Raw genomic sequence first — 23,246 nt, 5'->3', positions numbered from 1 at the left:
TCATGGTTTTGGAAGCCAGAAGTCTGAGATCGAGGTGTGGACAGTGGACAGCATGGGTTCCTTCTGAGGCTGCGAGGGGCACTGTCTCACCCCGCTCCCCTCACTCCTGTGGGCTGCTGCTATCTTTGGGGTCCTTGGCTTACAGTGGCCTCACCTGAGCTCTGCCTTTATCTTCACACAGCTTCTCCGTGTGTGTGTGTGTGTGTGTGTGTGTGTGTGTGTGTGTGTGTGTGTGTGTGTCCAAATCTCCCCTTTTTATAAGGATACAAAGCATTATTGCAGTAGGGCCTATCCTAACAGCCTCCTCTTAACTTGATCACCTACAAAGACCCTATTTCCATATAGGGTCACATTCACATGTACCAGCGGTCAGGACTTCGGCACCTTTTGAGGGACACAATTCAATCCACAGCAAGCAGACACAATGGCAGAACCTGGGATGAGGACGTGGGCACGGGAGCAGAACCCGGGATGGGAAGGCAAGCACGGCAGAAGTGTTTCTTGTGGACTTGGGCCTGGGGCAGGTGGAGCATGGGGGGTGGCGAGGGTAGCACAGGACAGCAGGTGCCCAGCACTGGGCACTCAGCAGCCTTTGCTTGTGAGGTGTGGCTTGACCTCGTGGAATGGTTTTAGGGAATAGTGGCTGAAAAGCGGGGTTCACATCGCCCTTTGCCAGCTTCCCGACACCACCGCAGGTTGGTTCCCAGCTCTGAGAAAGCAGCGCTGCTCTGTTTCTTCTCAGCCAGGACGGTCTTTAGGCAGCTGCACCAACTTCCGGTGGGTCCTGCTCAGGACCCCACATGGCGTTGGCTGAAAGGTCTCCTCGACTTCTCTGGTTTGTGACGGTTGCCCAATCTCTCCTTGGCCTCAGCGACCTTGACCGGTTGGGTGTTTTGTAGAATGCCCCTCCACGTGGACTTGCTTGAGGTTTCCTCGTGGTCAGAGTGGGCATCGCGTTGGGGGAGGAATCCCACAGGAGCAGTGTGCGTGGGGCATGGAGGTGACACGGCCGCGGCCCATCCCTCGCGGTGCCGCCGTTTCCCTCTGTAATTGGTCATGTCTGAGACTTGGCAGCTGTCCTGCGTCTGCCCAGGCGTTTGCCCGGCAGTGCTGGTGCCCCTCCGGGGGCCTCGCCCGCACGGTCCCTGTGGGGCTCTGTTGAGGATTCTCCTCCCTGCCTTGTTCCTTCCACACTTACTAATTGAAATTCTCCCGGGAGGAGGAGCTGTCCCGCTCTTCTGTGTGTCTATTTGCTTCCTTATTTATTTATCTATGTGTGGACTAAAGAATGTTTATCTATTACTTGAGCTATAATCCAATATGATCACTATGTATTTTGTGGTTGCAGTGGTTCCAACTTCGGCCCTCAAGTCCTTTCGTTTTGGCCCTGGTGCCCTTTCAACACGCTGTCCCTCCCTGACCTTTCTTACTTTTGGGTCCAAGTTCATCTCAGATTTGCCCTGTTTCATCCCTGGAATCAGACGCTTCTCTAGGAAGCCCTGCTTCCTCTTGGTGGACGAAGGCATTTAGAAACCAAAATCTGGAGCAAGGTGTGCTCACACTACTGGGGTGTTGCTTTCCCAGCCCTCCCAGGAGACAGAGCAAGGAGGCTGGCATGTGCATTAACACCCACCTGATCTTAGAGGGAGGGGTTTCCCCACTAAGAATCGTGTTGGTGCTGGTTTTTCCAGACTAGTGTTATCTGGTCTGAAATGTTCCCCTCTAGGCTGGATGTGGTGGCTCATGCCTGTAATTCCAGCACTTTGGGAGGCCAAGGCAGGAGGATTATTTAAGGCCAGGAGTTTGAGATCAGCCTGGGCAACATAGCCAGACCCCATCTCTACAACGTATTGTCCTTTTTACATGTTGCTGGATTGTATTTGCTAATATTTTATTGAGGATTTTGGTTGGTCTGTAGTTTTCTCTTATTGCAATGCCTTTGCCTGGTTTGGTAACACTGCCTTCATGAAAAGAGTTGGTGTTTTCTCCTATTCTATCTTCTGAAAGAGATGATGTAGAATTGACATTTTTTCTTCTTTAAAGGGTTGGTAGTATTTTCCAGGAAACTGTAGTTTTTCTGTGTTGGAAGGTGTCCTTTATTAGATATTGGACCTCCCAATTATCTTTTCTTCTTTAATAAGTTCTGGTATTTGCGCCTATCAAGGAATTGGTCCACATTATCTGAGGTTTTGATAAACAACACGTGGTGTTGTTTATGGAGTTCCCTTATCAGCCTTTTAATTTCTGACAATTGTTTAGCAATATCCCCTTTTGTTCTCCATATTGTTTATCAATTTGATGGATCTCAAAGAACCAGCTTGGGTTTAATCAGTTTCCTCTATTTTCCTTTTGTTTTCAATTGCGTGGACTCCTGCCCCATCCTTCCCTTTGCTTGCTGTGGGTTCCATTTCCTCATCTTTCTCTAGTTTCTCAAGGCAAAGCTCCTATGTTGGATTCAATACCTTTCTTCTTTTCAAAGCAGCGCCCGGTTCCCTCCTTCTCCATCCTCAGTGGCTATACCTGGCCTGTGCCTGAGGCTGTGAACGAGCTTATCTCTGCAGCCCCTTCTGTAATTCCATAATTCCTGGCTTCTGGACCCATGTCTCACCGATGATAGAGTCAAGGAGGATGCCCCACAAGGTGGCTGTGAGGGCAGGTCAACATCCAGAGGCCCCCACCCAGCACTGCCGAGGCTGTGTCAGGGACTCATCTGCCCTTGGGTGTCCACTCCCAGGAGGCTGAGAGGCACACAACACTGCAGGCGTGGGGTCCGGAGCCAGGAAGAGGCTATTTTAATTAAACAGTGGAGGGAGAGGCTCTTGCTGGGATGGTCAGGATTCTGTTTCCTGATTGCCAAAGCCCAGCGAGCGATGGGCTGACTGTCTATCCCGGGGCTCAGCAGGGCAGAGGCTCATCCTGAGTGCTGGGCAGGGCACCTTCTGGATGGTGGCCCCCACGTTTCCTCATTGAGGAGGTGGCCCCTGGTCGTGCTCAAGCTAAACCCCCAGGGGTGAGCCCAGCACCAGGCAGTGCTGTGCAGCAGTGTCTCTCTGAGACTGGGGGGAGGGGCAGTAGGGTGCATGGGGTTTACTTAGAGACCCATTCTTTCCAGGGGACCCAGGACGCAACGCCACAGTATGTGGAGTCTCATCCCCAACCTCCGCCAGCCTGAGGCTTGGGCCAACATCAGAGCCCTGAGGCACAGAATCCCCCCACACCAAGATGCCAGAATCCTCCCAGAGTCAGCCTGGGACCCCCTAAACACACACAGCAGCCTCCATCGGGGGTGGTCCCTGTACACAGACCTCTCTACACACAGTGTCCACTGTTGCTGTCCCTATGTCGTGGCATGTTTTATAACTCAGGGTCTTTCCAAGAAGCGGCAAAGCCTCCTCACACTCTACCTTTTGTGTTTAATTGCATAAATAGTAACAATAATAATACATTCTCCTGTCCTAAAGCAGGCCACACTTTCTTCACTGTGCTCCCTCCATCTGCATGTCCCCAAACTCTCTGGTGCTGTGGGTCACACACACACACACCCCTGCCCCAGCCAGGACCCTCTGCATCCTTTCCATCCTTGGCCCATGGTGTGTCCTGCCACATCTTCCCACTCTGTGCCTGGGCCAGGCCCAGGCAGCGTCCTGCAGCCAGGGTGCTCACGGCTGCTTTGCCGGCTGTTCCTGCACTGCACGTCTGCGTCACATCCGGTTTTTGTAAGTGCCCGTTACACCCTGTGTGCACACTTGCGGACGTGCACGGCTGCATCACATCCGGTTTTTCTAAGAAAGAAGTGCCCATCACACCCTGCGTTTCACACCCTGTGTGCGCGTGTGCGGACCAGGATGCTTTTCCAGGGTAGGCTCTTCTGCAGAACTGCTCCATCCCAGGTGCTCACACTCTCTGGAGGACACAGAGGATCGAAGTCTCACTGCAGCTGTGGCACTGCGATGCACGTGGCGGTGCAAGGAAGGGCTGTGCCTTCTCCTGGCCTGGAGTGGAGTCCTGCTCTCCAGCTGCTCACTGGGGCCCTGCCACGTGCAGGCAGGCGGGGGAGGAAGGCCTCTGCTTGAGATGTTTGACCAAAGCCCTTCCGGGGCCTTCACAGAGAATCCATGACATTCCCTACACAATGCCGGCCAGGATGGGCACGTGGGGGAAGATGAACCCTAGAGGGTGCCAGAGTGGACTGACCCAACACCCTCATGCCAGGCTGAGGCAGGAGGCCCCTCAGCAAGACTGCCAGACGGAGGGAGACAGCTCCAGGAACACCTGCTTCATTCAGCCACGCCCTGGCATTTACCCAGGCTGGGGCCAGCTGCAGTGGCCGAGCTGAGGAGGGTCCAGGCATCAGTCTCAGGCTCTGCTCCCAGCCACTCAGCCTGGGCCAGGGATCTGATCTGCAGCCCTCTGCTAGCCCCGAATGCCCTCCATGCTTCCCATTTTCCTCCCTGTCACCTGGCCTCGGAGGAGGCCAGGCCAGCCCATCAATTATGTTCCCACCAACTTTGAATCCCAGGTTCCCCAGGAGCTTATCCACTCCCCTGGCACGCCCAGAGGGGGACGAGGGGCAGGCACTGCCAGCTCCATGGCAGCTCCAGCCTCCCACAGCACCCAAGGGCAGCACAGGGACCCAAGGGAGGCCAGCAGACAGGAGCCTGGGCCTGCCTGGTCTCATTCCCAGCCGCTTCCTGCGTTTCCTTTGGGGTTCCCGTGGCTGCGGTGGGGCCATGCGTTCCTTCCTTCGTCCCGCACAGCTCACCCTGCACAGTGCCTGGCTGCCGACTTGAAAACAGCAGCCATGGGTGGAATGTTACCTGCAGCTCAGAGGCAGCCGTGCAAGATCCCCCAGGAGCAGGAGGAGGGGTGGGGGGAGGCCACACGGGCACACCTCATGGTGCCTCTGTTTCCTTACCACTGAAACAGAGATAACCTTGGTTCACAGCTCATAGGGGCTATAGTGCTATGTAAAGTGCCTGCCACGCTGATGCCCCATACATGTTGGCTGTTATGGGTATCCACTTTTGGGGGTGTCCTGGCCTAACCCACCTGTGATTTCTTTGCCACAGACCTGCGCCCCCTGGACATCCTGGCGGAAGTGGTCCCTTCTGATGGCGCCACAAGCGGGATCAGGATAGTTCAGGTTCACGGTGCACGGGGACTCCAGCTCTCAGTAGCCGCCCCCCGCACCATGAGCTTCCCAGCATCCAGGATTTTCTCCCAGTGTGACCTCTTCCCTGAAGAATTTTCCATCGTCGTAACTTTGAGAGTTCCCAATCTTCCACCCAAGGTCAGTGGCACTTTCTGCACTTCGTGTTATAATAGCGTAATTTTCCCTTGTGAGGTTCCCAGTACCAACGCGTGCACAGGTTGAGGGGCGGCATTTGTCAAGGACTCTCTGGGTTTCTCTGGGATCAAGAGTGGCTGGCCTTGCTAGGTAGTGAGGTCCCTGTCACTGGCAGTATGTGAGAGTCTGTGTGACCATTTGCTAGTGGTTTGCACAGCCAATTCCTGCAATCGAGGGACTAGTGCTCAGAGTTTTTATGTTGACATCCTTTGGCAGGAAGCGCTAACAATAAAATCACATCTAAAAAGGGACACTTTGTAGACCCATTTATCTAAGACTTGAAGTGCCATCAATCCCAAATCTAACAGACAAGCCCCATCCCATCCTCTGCCTACTAGTTTGGAAGGTGAAGACAGTAATGTTTGTCTCTGTCCCCTTCCCCACGGTTTCTGGGACAGTGCACGTCATATCTGTGCAGCAGGTCCTTCTGAAGTAAATAAAAATGAATTTGCATTTCCAACAGTGGTGTTGAGCACTTCTCATGTGTGTACTGGCTATTTGTGCATATTCCTTGGAGAAATGTTCATTTAAATTTTTTGCCCAGTTTTTCGTGGATTAATGGACTTATTGCTCAGTTATAAAGAATTCTTTATGTATTTGATGAGCCCCTTATCAGATATATGATTTGCAAATATTTGCTCCCATTCTGTGGGTTTTCCTTTTACTTTCTTGGTAGAGCCCTTTGGAGCACAAAATGTTTAAACCATGATGATGTTCAATTTATCTATTTTTTTTATTTTGTTGCTTGTACTTTTGATATCATATCCAAGAATCCAATGCCAAATCCAAGGTCATGAAGATTTACCCTTATGTTTTCTTCTAAGAGTTTTATACTTTTGGTACTTACATGTGAGTCTTCAATCCATTTAATTTTTGTATGTGGTGTGAGGTAGGGGGTCAATTTTGTTCTTTTGTATATAGATATTCAGTTGCCCCCACACCATTTGCTAAGGAGATTATTTTTTCCTCATTGAATGGTCTTGACAACCTTGTGAGAAATAAATTGACTATAGATAGGTGGGTTTATTTCTGGACTCTCAATTTTACTTTATTCATTCATTTGTCTATTTATATATTTGTACCACACAGTCTTGGTTACTGTAGTAACCAAGATTTATTGTAGTAAATCTTTAAATTGGGAACTATGAGTCATCCAACTTTGTTCCTCTTTTTAAATTTTGGTTTGGCTATTCTGGATCGCTTGTAATTACATATTGATTTTATAATCAACTTGTGAATGTCTACAGAGAAGTTAGCTTGAGATTGGACAAATCTGTAATTAATTTGGGGAGTATTGTCATGTTAACAATATTAACATGAGTGGATCATGGACTTCAGATTAATGAACGTATGATGCTTTTCCATTGTTTACATCTTCCTTAACAAAACAAAAATAATGTTTTATAGTTTTCAGAGTATAAGTTTTATAATTATTTTGTTAAATCTAGTCCTAGTATTTTTTCCTTTTTGATGCTATTATAAATAATTTCATGTTTGGCTTGTTAATTGCAAATATATAGAAATACCGTTATTTATTTATTTAATTTTGAGACAGAGTCTCACTCTGTCACCCAGGCTGGAATGCAGTGGTGCAATCTCGGCTCAATGCAACCTCTATTTCCTGGGTTCAAGCGATTCTCCCGCCTCAGCCTCCAGAGTAGCTGGAATTACAGGTGTACACTACCATGCCCAGCTAATTTTTGTATTTTTAGTAGAGACAGGGTTTCGCCATGTTGGCCAGGCTGGTCTGGGCCTCCCAAAGTGCTGAGATCACAGACATGAGCTACCACACCTGGCCTGAAATACCATTGATTTCTGTGTGTTGACGTTGTATCCTGCAACCTTGCTGAGCTGGCAGCTTTTTAGTGAATTTCTTAGGATTTTCTATATATAAGATTATATCATCTGTGAATAGAGATGATTTGTTTCTTCTTTTCCAATATGAATGCTTTTTATTTTTTCCCACTAAGTATAATATTAACTGTGGATTCTTCATAGATGCCCTTAACAAATTGAGCAAGTTTCCTGCTCTATCTTATTGAGTGTTTTTAACATGAAAGGATGGTGGATTTTATCAACTGCTTTTTCTGCATCTATTGTTATAATCATGCTATTTTTGTTTTTTATTCTGTTGATGTGTTGTGTTACATTAATTGATTTTTAGATATTAAACCAATCTTGTATCCCAGGGATAAATCCCATTTAGCCATGGTGTATAACTCTTCTTTTATGTTGCTGGATTCAGATTGCTAGTATCTTGTTGAGTATTTTGCGTTCATATCATGAGAGATAGTGGTATTGGTCTGTAGTTTTCTTTTCTTATGATGTCTTTGTGTGATTATGGTATGAGACTAATACTAGCCTCATAGAATGAGTTAGGAAGTAATACTTCCTCTTAGTTTTTGAAAGGGTTTGTGAAGAATTGGTTTTAATTCTTTATTTATTTCCACTTTAATCTTCATTATTTCCTTCATTGTGCTTGCTTTGAGTTGGCTCTTCTTTCTCCAGCATCTTAAAGTAGGTTAGGTTATTGATTTGAGATCTTTCTTAATACAGGTATTTACAACTATAAACTTCTCTCTAAGCAATACTTTTGCTGCATCTCATAAGTTCTGGTATTTTGGGTTTCATTTTTATTCATCTTGATGATTTTATGATTTTCCTTTTGGTTTCTTTTTTGACTTGTTTGTTGGTTATATAAGAGTGTGCTGTTTAATTTTCACATATTTGTGTGTTTCCCCAGTTTTTTTTCTATTATTGATTTCTAATTTTATTTTATTGTGGCCAGAATACATACTTTGCATTATTTCTGTCTTTTTAAATTTACTGGAGGTTTATTTTATGGCCTAACATATGTCCTATGCTAGACGATACTGCATATGCATTTCAAAAAAATGTATATTCTGCTGTCATCAGGTGGGAACAGTCTAAAGGTGTCTGCTAGACTTTATTGGTTTATTGTATTCAAGTTTTCCTTTTTCTTGTTGATCTTCTACCTAGTTATTCTATCCGTTTGTTGAAATTACGGTGTTGAACTATTCAATTAATATTGTTGACTTGTCTATTTCTCCCTTCATTTCTGTCAGCTTTTGCTTCATGTATTTTGGTGCTCTTTTATTATTTCCATACATGTTTATATTTATTATACCTTCATGATAGGTTGACCTTTTATCATTATAAAGTGTTCCTCTTAATCTCTAGTAACAATTTTTGTTTTAAAATTTATTTTATCGGACAGCAGTTGGGCTACTCCAATTTTCTCATGGTTGTTGTTTGTATAGTTTATCTCTTTCTGTTTACTTTCAATCTAGTTGTATATTGCAATATAAAGAATGCCTACTTTACAGAGTATCTATTACATCTTGTTTTTTATTTAATCCAGTCTGACAGCCTCTGCCTTTTGACTGGGTTATTTAATCTATTTACATTTAATGTTGTTATTGATATACAGTTGACCTCATTTTTTATGAATTTTGTATTTGCAAATTCAGCTACTCTCTAAAATTAATTTGTAATCTCAAATACTGGTGGCACTTTTGTGGTCATTCATTGGCATGCACAGATTAGTGAGAAATTTGAGTCTCCCAAAATGCATGTTCCCAGATAAGGTTGAACAAGGCACACTCTGCATTCTTGCTTCAGCTCTCATATTGTAAATAAGCATTTTTTTTTGTAATCTACTTAATGCCACATTTTCACATTTTTGTGATTTTTTGGGTGACTTTACTGTTTAAAATGGCCCTCAGGCATGGTGGTGAAGGGGCTGTTCAGTGTTCCTAAGTGCAAAAAGGCTGTGATGTGCCTTACAGAGAAAATATGTATGTTAGAGAAGCTTTGTTAAGGCATAAGTTGTAGTACTGTTGGCTGAGTTCAATGTTAATGAATAAACAATAATTATTAAACATATATAACACTCGACTATATGTTGATAGTTGAAACTGCGACCAGAGGATTACAAGAACCAAACTCTGTATTTCCCCTAGGAACAATGGTATATTATTTCCTAATTCAGTATTTGCAATGACTTTATGTAATTACTACTAACAATGAAAATCAACTGTACTTGAATTTATGTCTACTAGTTTACTTTTTATTTCCCATATGTTTTATATGGTTCTGTGGGTTTATGGGTTTTTTTTGTCACCACTGTCCTTATATTCTTTCTTCACTACTTTCTCTTATATTAAGTGCATATTTCCTAATGTAGCATTTTGATTTCTTTATGTTTTCCCATGACACTGTTTTAGTTTTTCCTTAGTGTTTGCTCTGGGGTTTACCATATACTTATTTTGACTTATCAAGATCAACTTCAGATTTGTGCCAACTTAATACCAGTGAGATACAAAAAGATTGCTCCTATACAACTCTTTTCCTTTTTGTCCTTTTTGTAGTCTTGTTGTTATATATATTACATCTACAGATGTTAAAACCCAACAATATATTGTTATACTTATTACTTCCTATAATTTTATGGCTTTTAAAGATGCTCAGAGAAGAAAGAACAAGTATATATTTATATCATTTGTTATATTAGCCTTTTTATCATTTCTGATTCTCTTCATTTTTTCCTGTGGATTCACATTACTATCTTCAGTAACTTCCTTTGCACGATATAGCTTTGTTTCCATGTACCTCCTTTGTATTATTATTGCCAAATATATTAGATTTCTATATGTTATAGGCCCAACAACACCAAATATACCTTTTTATATTGCTTTTTAAAAATCAGTTAAGAGAATAAAGGAGAAAATATGCATTTGTACTACTTTTTATAATTACATAATTAGTTTTACTGCTGTTTTGTTTTTCTGTGTGGATTTGAATTTCTGTCTGGAGTTACTTGCTTTTGGTCTGCGGAACGCTAGTATGACTCGTAAGATGCATCTGCAGGTAATAGATTCCCTCAGTTTTGATTTATCTGGGAATGCCTTTATTTTGCCTTCATTTCTGAAAGACAACTTTGTTGGATATAGAATTCTTGGCTGACTTTTTTTTCTTTGAGCACTTTGAATGTACCATCATACTACCTTCTGGTGCCCATTGTTTCTGATAAGAAGTGAACTGTTGCTCTTCTTATGGTTCTCTTATAAATAACTTGTTTTTCTCTTGCTGCTTTCAAGATTTTCTCCTTGTTTTTGACTTTCAGTATTTTTACTATGATATGTCTGTTTGCGTATCTTTTGTGTGTCTCCACCTTAGAGTTTTCTGAGGTCCTGGATATGTAGATTAATGTTTTTCAATAATTTTGGAAAGTTACTAATTCTGTGAAGAATGTCAGTGGTAGTTTGATGGGAATAGCATTGAATCTATAAATTACTTGGGGCAGTATGGCCATTTTCATGATATCGATTCTTCCTATCCATGAGGATGGAATGTTTTTCCATTTGTTTGTGTCCTCTCTTATTTCCTTGAGCAGTGATTTGTAGTTCTCCTTGAAGAGCTCCTTCACATCCCTTATTAGCTGTGTTCCTAGGTATTTCATTCCCTTTGTAGCAATTGTGAATGGGAGTTCACTCATGATTTGGCTATCTGCTTGTCTGTTGTTGGTGTGTAGGAAGGCTTGTGATTTTTGCACATTGATTTTGCATGCTGAGACTTTGCTGAAGTTGCTTATCAGCTTAAGGAATTTTTGAGCTGAGATGATGGGGTTTTCTAAATATAGAATCATGTCACCTGCAAACAGAGATAATTTGGCTTCCTCTTTTTCTATTCGAATACTCTTTATTTCTTTCTATTGCCTGATTGCCCTGTTCAGAATTTCTAATACTATGTTGAATAGGAGTGATGAGAGAGGGTATCCTTGTCTTGTGCTGGTTTTCAAAGGGAATGCTTTCAGCTTTTGCTCATTCAGTATGATATTGACTATGGGTTTATCATAAATACCTCTTATTATTTTGAGATATGTTCTATTAACATCTAGTTTATTCAGAGTTTTTAACATGAAGGGATGTTGAATTTTCTTGAAGGCCTTTTCTGCATCTATTGAGATAATCATGTGGTTTTCGTCATTGGTTCTCTTTATGTGATGGATTACATTTATCGATTTGCCTATGTTGAGCCAGCTTTGCATCCTAGGGATGAAGCTGACTTGATTGTGGTGTATAAGCTTTTCGATATGCTGCTGGATTCAGTTTGCCAGTATTTTATTGAGGATTTTTACATCAGTGTTCATCAGGGATATTGGCCTGAAGTTTTCTTTTTTTGTTGTGTCTGCCAGGTTTTGGTATCAGGATGATGGTGGCCTCATAAAATCAGTTAGGGAGGAGTCCCTCCTTTTCAGTTGTTTGGAATAGTTTCAGAAGGAATGGTACCACCTCCTCTTTGTACCTCTGGTAGAATTTGGCTGTGAATCCATCTGGTCCCGGGCTTTTTTTGGTTGGTAGACTATTAATTACTGCCTCAATTTCAGAACTTGCTATAATCTATTCAGGGATTCAACTTCTTCCTGGTTTAGTCTTGGGAGGGTGTATGTGTCCAGGAATTTACCCATTTCTTCTAGATTTTCTAGTTTATTTTGTAGAGGTGTTTATAGTATTCTCTGATGGCCGTTTGTATTTTTGTGGGATCAGTGGTGATATCCCCTTTATCATTTTTTATTGCATCTATTTGATTCTTCCCTCTTTTCTTCTTTATTAGTCTAGCTAGTGATCTATCTATTTTGTTAATTTTTTCAAAAAACCAGCTCCTGGATTCATTGATTTTTTTGAAGGGTTTTTCATGTCTCTATCTCCTTCAGTTCCGCTCTGATCTTAGTTATTTTTTGTCTTCTGCTAGCCTTTGGATTTGTTTGCTCTTGCTTCTCTAGTTCTTTTAATTGTGATGTTAGGGTGTAGATCTGAGATCTTTCCAGCTTTCTGATGTGGACATTTAGTGCTATAAATTTCCCTGTTAACACTGCTTTAGCTGTGTTCCAGAGATTCTGGGACATTGTCTCTTTGTTCTCATTGGTTTCAAATAACTTCTTGATTTTTGCCTTAATTTCGTTACTTACCCAGGAGTCATTCAGGAGCAGGTTGTTCAATTTCCATGTAGTTGTGTGGTTTTGAGTGAGTTTCTTAATCTTGAGATCTAATTTGATTGCACTGTGGTCCGGTAGACTTTGTTATGATTTCAGTTCTTTTGCATTTGCTGAGGAGTGTTTTACTTTCAATTATAAAGTCAATTTTAGAATAAGTGCCATGTGACACTGAGAAGAATGTATCTTCTGTTGATTTGGGGTGGAGAGTTCTGCAGATGTCTATTAGGTCCATTTGATCCAGAGCTGAGTTCAAGTTCTGAATATCCTTGTTAATTTTCTGTCACATTGATCTGTCTAATATTGACAGCAGGGTGTTAAAGTTTCCCACTATTATTGTGTGGGAGTCTAAGTCTCTTTGTAGGTCTCTAAGAGCTTGTTTTATGAAACTGGGTGCTTTTATATTTGGTGCATATATATTTAGGATAATTAGCTCTTCTCATTGAATTGATCCCTTTATCATTATGTAATGCCCTTCTTTGTCTTTTTTGATCTTTGTTGGCTTAAAGTCTGTTTTATCAGAGACTAGGATTGCAACCCCTGCTTACGTTGCTTTCCATTTGCTTGGTACATTTTCCTCCATTCCTTTATTTTGAGCCTATGTGTGTCTTTGCAAGTGAGATGGGTCTCCTGAATACAGCACACTGACGGGTCATGACTCTTCATCCAATTTGCCAGTCTGTGTCCAGCTATTATTTCTATGAAATAATATTTTTCCACTGTAGTCTGACTTTGCCAGGTAGTCCTCCAACAGAGCCCTTAGCCATACTCATCAAAGGTCAGAGGCTTCAAACCCTGCAGCCTATGGGCCCCCACCAAGCACTCAGTGGACCCCTGGCCTAATTTTGGAAAGCCCTGCAGCCTAGAGCATCATCAGAGCCTCTGCCTTTGCCATTTCAAAGATTTAGTAGAAAATAGCGATCATAGAGTGAGGAGATGAGGGATCCATGATCAGAACTTTGGGGGCTTACTAGCGCACAGGTATGGTCCCGGGCACAGGCATGGGCTGATACACACAGGTGTATAGGTATTTGTGAGACAAGGCTCTGCAATCAGACCCTTTTATTTGTACATTTACTATGACAATGTCCAGGAGCCAACAGTAGAACTAATACATTCTGATGACTTTCTGGCCCATAAGGGAAGAGACCTTGGAGCTCCCAAGGACACCATTGCAGGTGATGTTGCCCGAGATGTGAGAGGAGAAGGTGTGAACACTATTGTGCACACCACCGGGGGAAGGCCCCATAACAGTTCAACGTGAAATGAAACAAAGGTGCTTGCCCCTCATCTCCATCCCTACTGTGCTGGGCCTGCAGCTGCCTCCCTGCTCCCCTCTGCGAGCCAATCTCTGCCCAGGAAGACACTATTCCCTCACACCTGCCCCAGGGCTCACCCCCAGCAGAAATATGCCCCATGGTTCCCACTGACAACCAGCAGTGTCAACCCACAGGGTGGATCTCGCCGTGTGGCCAGGCCAACTGAGCATCTTCAAACTTGTCCACAGCAGAACACATCTCTCCCTTTCCTCAAGGCCCAGAAACTGAGGTTCTCCTAACCTCATCCCTCCTTAGGTGTAGAAGTCTTTTTTTAAGTGCAAACTCCTCCTGGGATGGAGCAGAGGGCTGTCAATTCCAGAATATCTCCTAACTGCCACTGTCCCTGCTTCTGCAGTGTGCTTTGATGCAATCAATATATTTCTACTAGTTTATCTCTGTGGACAAGCCCACATTAGGGAAGCCCTAACTCCAGTCAGGAGCCTCACAAACCAGAACATCCACAAACAATGAACCAACACTACTAACACAACAGTGCCTACAACAACAACAAGGAAGAGGAAGGCTTCTCGAAGCCAGGCAGGGGCAGCACAATCAACACAGAGGGGTATAAAGGTTCCGACCACTCAGAGGCCTGGCACGATCACTCACTCACTCCCTCACTCACTCCCACACTCACTCACTCACGTCTCCCCCAGCTCACCTCCTCCCCACCCCAGCATGGCCACGTCTACCATGTCCGTCTGCTCCAGCGCTTACTCTGACTCCTGGCAGGTGGACGCCTGCCCAGAGAGCTGCTGTGAGCCCCCCTGCTGCGCCACCAGCTGCTGCGCCCCGGCCCCCTGCCTGACCCTGGTCTGCACCCCAGTGAGCTGTGTGTCCAGCCCCTGCTGCCAGGCGGCCTGTGAGCCCAGCCCCTGCCAGTCAGGCTGCACCAGCTCCTGCACGCCCTCGTGCTGCCAGCAGTCTAGCTGCCAGCCAGCTTGCTGCACATCCTCCCCCTGCCAGCAGGCCTGCTGCGTGCCTGTCTGCTGCAAGCCAGTCTGCTGTGTGCCCGTCTGCTGCAAGCCTGTCTGCTGCAAGCCCATCTGCTGTGTGCCCGTCTGCTCTGGGGCTTCCTCTTCATGCTGCCAGCAGTCTAGCCGCCAGCCGGCTTGCTGCACCACCTCCTGCTGCAGACCCTCCTCCTCCGTGTCCCTCCTCTGCCGCCCCGTGTGCAGGTCCACCTGCTGTGTGCCCATCCCCTCCTGCTGTGCCCCTGCCTCCACCTGCCAGCCCAGCTGCTGCCGCCCGGCCTCCTGCGTGTCCCTCCTCTGCCGCCCCACGTGCTCCCGCCTCTCTTCCGCGTGCTGCGGCCTCTCCTCAGGCCAGAAGTCCAGCTGCTGACGGGCAGGTCCCGTTTCTCCAGAGTTGTTCCAGGGCCATCTCTGACTTCCGAAAATCCTTGCAGCCCTGAGCCCTGTCTGAGTCTCCTCTGCCCATAGCCACTGCACCTCCAGCCAGCAATGCTGAGCTTTCATGCCGATTCCCTCCAGGCATGCATCTCTCCCACACCCTCATCTCCATGCTGGCCAGCCGGTGGTCACTGTGTCCTGCCCCATGTGAGTGATCAGTCTGTCAACAAATAAAGTCACCAATGTGCCCTCTCAGAGGTCTTTTTTGCATATCTGGCAAACCCTGTGGGAAGAACTTCAACGTGCCGCGTGGGGTGGGAGCTTCGGGACTCTGGCCTTGAGCTGCATCCAGGCTGACAGCACCAGGGGCGGAGGCAGTCCTGACTTCCCGCTGTGCGGGGTCTGCTGTTGTGGGGTTCTCCTGCCAGCCTCAGCGTCTCCAGGCCCCGGGGGTGCTTCTCTGTGAATCCCCCACACCCACCCGGCCCGGCCTCTCCCTGGGCTCAGCTCCTCCCCCTCTCTCCTTCCTCTGCCTGTCTGACCCCCACTCATCATCTTCTCACCAGCCCTCTCTTATTAAATAAAATAAATATTTCTCATTCCTGGAAGACATTTTAGAGCTGATCTCTTATTTCAAATATCTGTGCACGGTCATCCCAATGCCTGAAGTCTCTGTGGGTCCATTTCAGCTTTCTGTCATTTCCACCAGTTCTCGCTCATGGTGTCGTTTCCTTGTGTGCTTCACTGTTTGCAGCTGAGTAACCACCTTTGTCCTTGGAAAGTATTTGTGGGCATTTTTGAGGCCTCTAAGACAGGTGTGTTTTCTTTTGCCTTATGTGAGGAACCCTCTCATGTAGCCGACAAAACCTATGGCAGCACCTGCAGCTTTGTCACCAACAGGAATGAGATGCGTGGCGTCACATTATGCCGGCCGCAAATGCTCAAAACCTCATTCTGGCCACTGCTGTTTCATAATTATGGTAGCGCGAGATGCACCTGCTGGGTCCCACCAGGCACATGCTCCCTAGGGAAGTACATGCTATCTCACCAGTTCACTTTTTCATAGTGTAACAGCAGTGTTTTCATGAAGTTGGTTTCCTTTTACTTATCTGAAAACCTCCAAAGCTTTCACGAGGTGGCCGGGAAGTTCCCTTGTGCAAAAAGGGCAAAGACCCCTGTCTTTGATTTGGGCCTGTAATCCTGTAATTCTTTATTCCTTTTCCAGTTTCCTGTTGCAACTAGGAAGATTCTTCCTAGTGTTTTCAATTGTTTTCAGCAGGATGATGGGTCAAACAATCTCATCAACAGGTTTCCAGAACTGGAATCCCTGGAGCAACTTCTATTATTTTTTAGGCGGAGTCTGGCTCTGTTGCCCAGACTGGAGTGCAGTGGTGCGATCTCGGCTCACTGCAACCTCCACCTCCCAGATTCAAGGGATTCTCCTGCCTCTCCTCCTGAGTAGCTGGGATTACAGGCGCAGGCCACCATGCCCAGCTAATTTTTTTGTATTTTTAGTAAAGACGGGGTTTCACCATCTTGGCCAGGCTGGTCTTGAACTTCTGACCTTATGATCCACCCGCCTCGGCCTCCCAAAGTGCTGGGATTACAGGCATGAGCCACTGCACCCGGTCTTTTGGTTTTTTTTTTTGTTGTTGTTATTTTTTTTTGAGAGCGGGTATCACTCTGTTGCCAGGCTAGAGTGCAGTGGAGCAATCTCCGCTCAGTACAACTTCTGCCTCCCGGGTTCAAGCTATTCTTCTCCCTCAGCCTCCTGAATAGCTAGGACTACAGGTGTGCACCACCACACCTGGCTAATTTTTGTATTTTTAGTAGAGACTGGGTTTCACCACATTGGCCAGGCTGGTCTTGAACTCCTGACATCGCGATCTGCCTGCCTTGGCCTCCCAAAGCGCTGGGATTACAAGCGTGAGCCACCGTGCCCGGCACGACTTCTTAATTCTTAAGAATAACTGGAAATTTTCTGTAACCTTCCCCTGTTGTTCACAAGGATTCCTTAATTCTTGAGTAGGTCTTTTCCTTTGAACCGCTGTATCTATTAACTTGTCCCAGCAGTCATTTACTCCTTTGCAGTTTCGATGGCATGTCTGTGCAAATGCAATACACAGTTGGAAGTCCCTGTCCGAGTGTCACAGGCTTCCAGGACAGAAGGACACAGGCCCCTTGTCACTGTCATTTTCCTTTGCAAGCTCCCAGCCCAGCCACCAGGACAAGGGGAGCAGGCATGGCAGGAAGGGCTGTCCCCAGACCTCTCTGTCCTGGGTCTGATCAGTAGCCCAGAGCAAGGCTGCCTTGCCCTGAGCCCCATGACTGTGTGTGTGCAGCCTCTACCCTGCTTGTGAAGGGGGGTGGGATGTGTGTGTGGCCGGGGTGGGGGACTCACCACATAAGGACTGGGAGGGGACTTCTCACACTAGGGCTCCCAGATCCTGGTGCCCTTCACCGCCCATCTCCCACAGCCCTTGGCCAGCTGGCCTAGCCAAGTGCCCACGTCTCCCCACTGGGTGGGACTCTGTAAGGGAACACGGCTTCTGCATCTTCAGGGAGTCCTGAGCCAGGCTGCCCTCCCTTTGGCTCATCCTGTGGGATGTGGGGGCCCTGCTAGTGCGGGAGTCCCCATTTCTAGGCTGTGTGCCGTCACCCCTTGGGGAGGATGGGAGAGGAGGCTCTGTGTGGGCCCCGGCAGCCGTCGGACCTGGGAGACGTCTCTTTTCCCTCCCGTTACTGTTTAATGGTGACATTAGTTACCTTATTTCGGTTTTTATTTTATAAACCGTTTTGAGAAATGTTCTCATCTAATAGGAAACATCAGGAGCAATTTCCTTTCCTTTCCAACTGGCTGTTTTGCTCCTCCTCACGTTTTCATGGTCTTCTCTGCTTTTGAGGTTTCCGCCTGTTTCGGTTGCTTTTCCGTCTTTAGGATATCCACCACGGTTTGTTTTTTCTCTTCTACTTTTATTTGCTGTTTTGAAAAATATACATTCTGTTTTTAATTGTACCAATAAATAGCTTTTAAGTTTACCTTTATGCTTATTTTTTAACTATTAAAGTGAGGAATGGAACCGCAATTCGAGAATTTCTATTTAAAACAGAATTAATCTTGCTCTCCTCAACATCAGCCCACGGTTCCACCCCCACCCGCTTCTCAGTCTTTCTTGTTTGATTGAAAACAACATACAGCATATTCCAGTAGAAACAGAACCGCACATACAATCCTAAATATTATAACAGCCACATTTAAAGATGGCAGAAGGAACAGGTGCAATTAATTTAACAATAGATCTTATTTAACCCGGTACATCCAGAATGTTACCATTTCCACAACTGGCATGAGCCACATTTCAAGCACTCAAGAGCCACGTGTGGTTAGCGGCCTCTCACACTAGCATGCAGTAAAGTATTAGAATATTATCACTGCCATTCAATTAGGATGTAGAATATGCATCTGTTGTATGCATCTGTTATAAAATATGTGAAATTTGCATTTGCAGTTATAACTGAGCACATTGGTTATCTGGACCTAGGTCAGTGTCTTCCTGTCTTTGTATCTGGGCCAGCCCTTTGATACCCCAGCTTCTACGTTCTGGAACTCTTGTCTTTGCTTCTTCTCTGTCACAGTCAGTTGGGGCTGCTATAACAAATTGCCGTGGACTGGAGGGTCTTGAGCAGCAGGCATTTCTTTCTCCCAGTTCTGGAAGCTGGAAGTCCAGGATCAGTCAGGGTGCCACATGGTGGTGCTCTGGAGAGGGCTCTCTTCCTGGTCTACAGACAGCCACCTTCTTGCTGTCCTCACGTGGCCCAGATAATCTCTCCACGGTTTCTTCTTTAAAGGGCACAAATCCCATTTTTGAGGGCTCCACCCTCCTGACCTAATTACCTCCCAAAGGCCCCACCTCTTAATACCATCATATTGGAATTAGGGTCTCAACATGTGAATTTTGGGAGGATACAAACATTCCATCCATAACAATCACTTTGCCATTTGTCATATTTCCTTAAGCATTTTTTCCAAGAGGGATACCTGGGTGGAGTACTTTCTAAGCTCTTGCTTTTGTGAAAATACATCGCTGTTATCTTTATTTGAGAAAGATGTAATAATTTGAAAAAAGGAAAATTAGAGCCTTAGTCCACCAAAGATTGCCCTGGAAGCCCTGAGGATATTGCCATACCCTGGTTAGTGGGACAGGGGTCTGAGGTCAGCCTGAGGCAGTTCATTTCCAGATCGTGTATTATTCGTCTTGCCTGTGAGAGGCCTGTTCTTAGGTCTTCTACATTGAAAAACTCGTCAATGCATGTCTAGGTGGCCTGATTTTCTTGAAATTCATTAAGTTCTTCTACTCCAAATACACACACCTCTGTCCATTCAGCCCAGAATACCTGATCCTCAATTATTTCTTTATTACTTTGATCTTATTTTTTTTTCTCCCTAGCAATTGAATTTTCAGGTTTTGTCTCAGCTAAATATACACTCTGTTTGTTATCTTTTCTCTCATTATATTTGTGAATTTTATCCTTTACCTCGGCGTTTGGAAGAACTCATGTTTGGACTTAAAATTGAATTGATTCTCTGTGGTATTAGTTTTGCTCTTCTGCTTCTGATGTGAATTTTTAATCCAGCTGTTTGGTATTAAATTTGGTATTGAAGACTTGCTGTCTTTCATCTTCAACATTTTTTATTTTTAGAATCGGAGACTCACTGGTTGAGAATGTAGATCCTATGTACAGACCGGCTGGCTTCTAGTCCTGGTTCTGTCACTGTTTTCTGTGTGGCTTTGAGCAGATTGCTCAACCTCTCTGCTGAAGCTTCCGCGTCTGTCCATAGTAACTTCGACAAGAAGTTAATGCCGAAATTCAGTGAATTAATAGATGCCAAGTGCTTGGAATGCTCCCTGGCGCAGCCACATGCTCCGACCTCACCAGCTTCATCATCAGTGCTACTAGGGGGTCATTTTCTAAGATCACCGAAGCTGTCACTACAGTCACATGCTATAATTTGCAGCTCCAGGTCTGTGGGACCCTCCCCCTCATACTCCATTAGGGAACGCCGCTGCCTCGGCTTCCCTTCGGCTCTCACCCTGGCTCCCAGTGCTGACTGCCCTGCGTCTTCAGATGAGAGGCTCTTGTCGGGAGCTGAGTCTTCACAGACATCACCCCTGAGAGGTCGGAGGGGCTTGTTTGACAACAGCCATGGAGGGCGGAGTGACTGGCACGTGCTGGAGGCCCCAGGTTCAGATGGAATTTCCATCACAATGGCGAGGCAGGTGTGCAGGGAGGGGCTGTTGGGGGCTGTGAGTTTATCCCACGTCCAGCCGGTGCACATGGCCAGTGACAGTCACAATGGCAGTGACTCAGATCTTTAGGTGGACAATTGTGTCACCTGCGAATAACAGAGGTTCACGTCTCATTTCTATTTCTCGGCTTGCTGCTTTGACTGGCCCTGTAGGACAACAGAGAAAGGTTCTGGTGACCAGGGGCCTGCTCACCTCCTGCTACGCTATGACAGGAGAGCTTCCAGTGAGCCTCCCTAGCGCTATAGGCTTTCTGGGCCACCATGAAAGCCCGTCCCAGGCTGCCGTAGCCTCATCCCCAGCTGAAAGAGGCTGGAAGGACACTGGGAGATGTTGCTGGTTCCTGGTGAGAACCAGCTTCAGGCCATGCTGGGCTCAGGCCCCAAGACAGAGGAGCTCACCTGTGACGGTCCCTGCCCCGGGGTCAGGGCCTGTCCTGCCTGATGACCTCCCAAGCACAGGCTGGCTTTGCCCACCCCAAGTGTCCTTCACTCTCCAGTGACCCTCATTCCACATCCACCTCCTCAAGGCAGAGGCCCCTCCCCACCCCCAGGCCTGGATCTGCACCCACCACTCTCAGGACACCTGACCAGGGCTCCAGGGGACAACAGTCCAGACCCAAAGGCCAGTCCCCAAACCTTGTCCTCCTAATGAGCTGACTGTCCAGAGGCCTTGCCAGAACATTCCATCTCCTTCTCAGAGGAGGGGAGGTCCTCCCTGTCCTCCTGCTCTTGGCAGACATCAGGATCTCAGAAGATCCCAGAGCCCGCCAGGAAGCGCTGTCCTCAAGCGTCTTTTCCCAACACAGGCACCTCCATCCTGGCTCTCCCAATCACAGCCACGCCAGCCCACCCTGTGAGGTCCCTGCAGACAGAGGCTGGGCCTCCCCCGGGCCCAGAGCTCACGCTGGGCACAGTCACGGGACCTGCCAGGTGGAAGTCACCAGGTCAGCCCCAGAGAGGCCACACCTTCCCTCCTGGTGTTCCCGGGGGACAGGCTCAGCCAGGGGCGCCGGTCCTGCCCAGGACCAGCCGAGTGTTAGGAGCAGAGTGAGGACAAGTCATGGCAAAGGAAGCAGAAATAATGAGGGTCCTCCCGGCTCCAAACACCAACACGGAAGTGGAGGGCGTTGCTGAGTCTCCTGCTGGGAAAACACAGGCCCTGGGCATATAAAAGCCCCAGCAGCCAACAGGCTCACACACACACTCACTCACACACTCACACACACACTCACTCACTCACACACCTCCCCCAGCTCACCTCCTCCCCACTCCAGCATGGCCGCCTCCACCATGTCCATCTGCTCCAGCGCCTGCACCAACTCCTGGCAGGTGGACGACTGCCCAGAGAGCTGCTGTGAGCTCCCCTGCGGCACCCCCAGCTGCTGTGCCCCAGCCCCCTGCCTGACCCTGGTCTGCACCCCAGTGAGCTGTGTGTCCAGCCCCTGCTGCCAGGCGGCCTGTGAGCCCAGCGCCTGCCAATCAGGCTGCACCAGCTCCTGCACGCCCTCGTGCTGCCAGCAGTCTAGCTGCCAGCCGGCTTGCTGCACCTCCTCCCCCTGCCAGCAGGCCTGCTGCGTGCCCGTCTGCTGCAAGCCTGTGTGCTGTGTGCCCGTCTGCTGTGGGGCTTCTTCATGCTGCCAGCAGTCTAGCTGCCAGCCAGCTTGCTGTGCCTCTTCCTCCTGCCAGCAGTCCTGCCGTGTGCCTGTCTGCTGCAAAGCTGTGTGCTGCGTGCCCACCTGCTCTGAGTCATCCTCTTCATGCTGCCAGCAGTCTAGCTGCCAGCCGGCTTGCTGCACCTCCTCCCCGTGTCAGCAGTCCTGCTGTGTGTCCGTCTGCTGCAAGCCTGTCTGCTGCAAGTCCATCTGCTGTGTACCTGTTTGCTCTGGGGCTTCCTCTCCGTGCTGCCAGCAGTCTAGCTGCCAGCCAGCTTGCTGCACCTCCTCCTGCTGCAGACCCTCCTCCTCTGTGTCCCTCCTCTGCCGCCCCGTGTGCTCCCGCCCAGCCTCCTGCAGCTTTTCCTCAGGCCAAAAGTCTAGCTGCTGATGGCCATGTCCCCCAGGGCCAGCCGGGCTCAGGCCCCACCTCCCTGCCAGTCCTTGGACCTCCCAGCCCACCCAGCCTCAGCACAGCTCAGCACAGAAGGAGCAGCCCCAGCCACAGCCGCCCAGCCCCGGGGTCTCAGATGCTCACTGGCTCCTCTCTGACCTCCCGCCGGGCGGGCGAGCCCTGGCTTCTCCTCACGGTGCTTCCTGGCTGCAGACCACAACCCTCCGCTGGTCGCTGGTCGCTGGTTGGGGATGGGCCCTCCTGACCTGGGTCTCACCCCCAGGAGCGTCACCCTCTGCCTCTGAGCACCAATAAAGCGTCTGCGGCCCCAGCTGACTCCGTGCTGACTCTCCGCACCCAGGGCGGGAGGGGGCAGAGTGGGGCCTGGCCTGGCTCTGGGGGGCTGGGCCCCGTGGATCTCTTTACTTCCCCAGCTGGGGGCCCCGGGGGGCTCTTGTGTGACACCTGGAAGCTCCTGTCCACCTCGTGGCACGTTCTGCTGTCCGGCTCCCCTCCCAGGTCCTGTGGGGCCCAAAAGCCTTGTTCATTGGCTGAGTCCCACAGACACCACATGACTCAGGCCAACGCCCCACGCACTGTGGGTAGAAGCAGCTCCTTCCCATGGCAAGGGTTGGGGCTGTCCCGGGGGGTGGCAGGCCCCAGCTGTGCTGGGAGGTGGGACACGGCGGGAGACTTGGGCTCCAGCTGTCCCTGCGCTCAGGGAGTTCCACTCAGGGACAGCTTGGGCATCCTGGCCTCCTGCGCACACTCACATACGCTCAGGGGCGCCCTCTGTTCCTGCACCAGGCTTACAGCTGGGATGCAGAGCAGAGAACAGAGACGCGGCCTCCAGAGCTCC

General features: G+C 47.8%; 3 protein-coding genes across 5 annotated transcripts in view, besides 2 other annotated features; all 3 read left to right on the top strand.

The window, feature by feature from the left end:
- Positions 1 to 23,246, top strand: part of TSPEAR (thrombospondin type laminin G domain and EAR repeats) — a 213,680-nt gene that overhangs the window by 138,498 nt on the left and 51,936 nt on the right. For both annotated transcript variants that reach the window (NM_144991.3, NM_001272037.2), the window contains one exon: positions 5,070 to 5,290. In NM_144991.3, coding sequence (NP_659428.2) covers positions 5,070 to 5,290 — 221 coding nt within the window. The remainder of the gene's footprint in view (positions 1 to 5,069; positions 5,291 to 23,246) is intronic.
- Positions 14,280 to 15,285, top strand: KRTAP10-3 (keratin associated protein 10-3). The gene has a single exon (NM_198696.3). The coding sequence runs from the start codon at positions 14,360 to 14,362 to the stop codon at positions 15,023 to 15,025; it is 666 nt and encodes a 221-aa protein (NP_941969.2). The 5' UTR covers positions 14,280 to 14,359; the 3' UTR covers positions 15,026 to 15,285.
- Positions 21,570 to 22,718, top strand: KRTAP10-2 (keratin associated protein 10-2). 2 transcript variants are annotated; one of them, NR_130165.2, is made up of 2 exons: positions 21,570 to 21,695; positions 22,401 to 22,718. NR_130165.2 is itself a non-coding variant. In NM_198693.4 (1 exon), the coding sequence occupies exon 1, from the start codon at positions 21,617 to 21,619 to the stop codon at positions 22,382 to 22,384; it is 768 nt and encodes a 255-aa protein (NP_941966.1). In that variant the 5' UTR covers positions 21,570 to 21,616; the 3' UTR covers positions 22,385 to 22,718. The 2 variants fall into 2 exon arrangements, 1 of the variants encoding a protein (NP_941966.1); NM_198693.4 differs by having other exon boundaries at positions 21,570 to 22,718.
- Positions 21,892 to 22,439: an enhancer, noted in NCBI's record as "H3K27ac-H3K4me1 hESC enhancer chr21:45970519-45971066 (GRCh37/hg19 assembly coordinates)". NCBI's record gives its function as "activates a minimal SCP1, AML or CMV promoter by ChIP-STARR-seq in naive H9 embryonic stem cells {active_cell/tissue: H9 hESC(naive)}" and the evidence as "EXISTENCE:reporter gene assay evidence [ECO:0000049][PMID:30033119]".
- Positions 22,440 to 22,989: an enhancer, noted in NCBI's record as "H3K27ac-H3K4me1 hESC enhancer chr21:45969969-45970518 (GRCh37/hg19 assembly coordinates)". NCBI's record gives its function as "activates a minimal SCP1, AML or CMV promoter by ChIP-STARR-seq in naive H9 embryonic stem cells {active_cell/tissue: H9 hESC(naive)}" and the evidence as "EXISTENCE:reporter gene assay evidence [ECO:0000049][PMID:30033119]".

This window comes from Homo sapiens, chromosome 21 (assembly GCF_000001405.40).
Source record: "Homo sapiens chromosome 21, GRCh38.p14 Primary Assembly".
Classification (NCBI taxonomy): Eukaryota; Metazoa; Chordata; class Mammalia; order Primates; family Hominidae; genus Homo; species Homo sapiens.
This window is presented reverse-complemented; position numbering and strand designations above follow the sequence as displayed.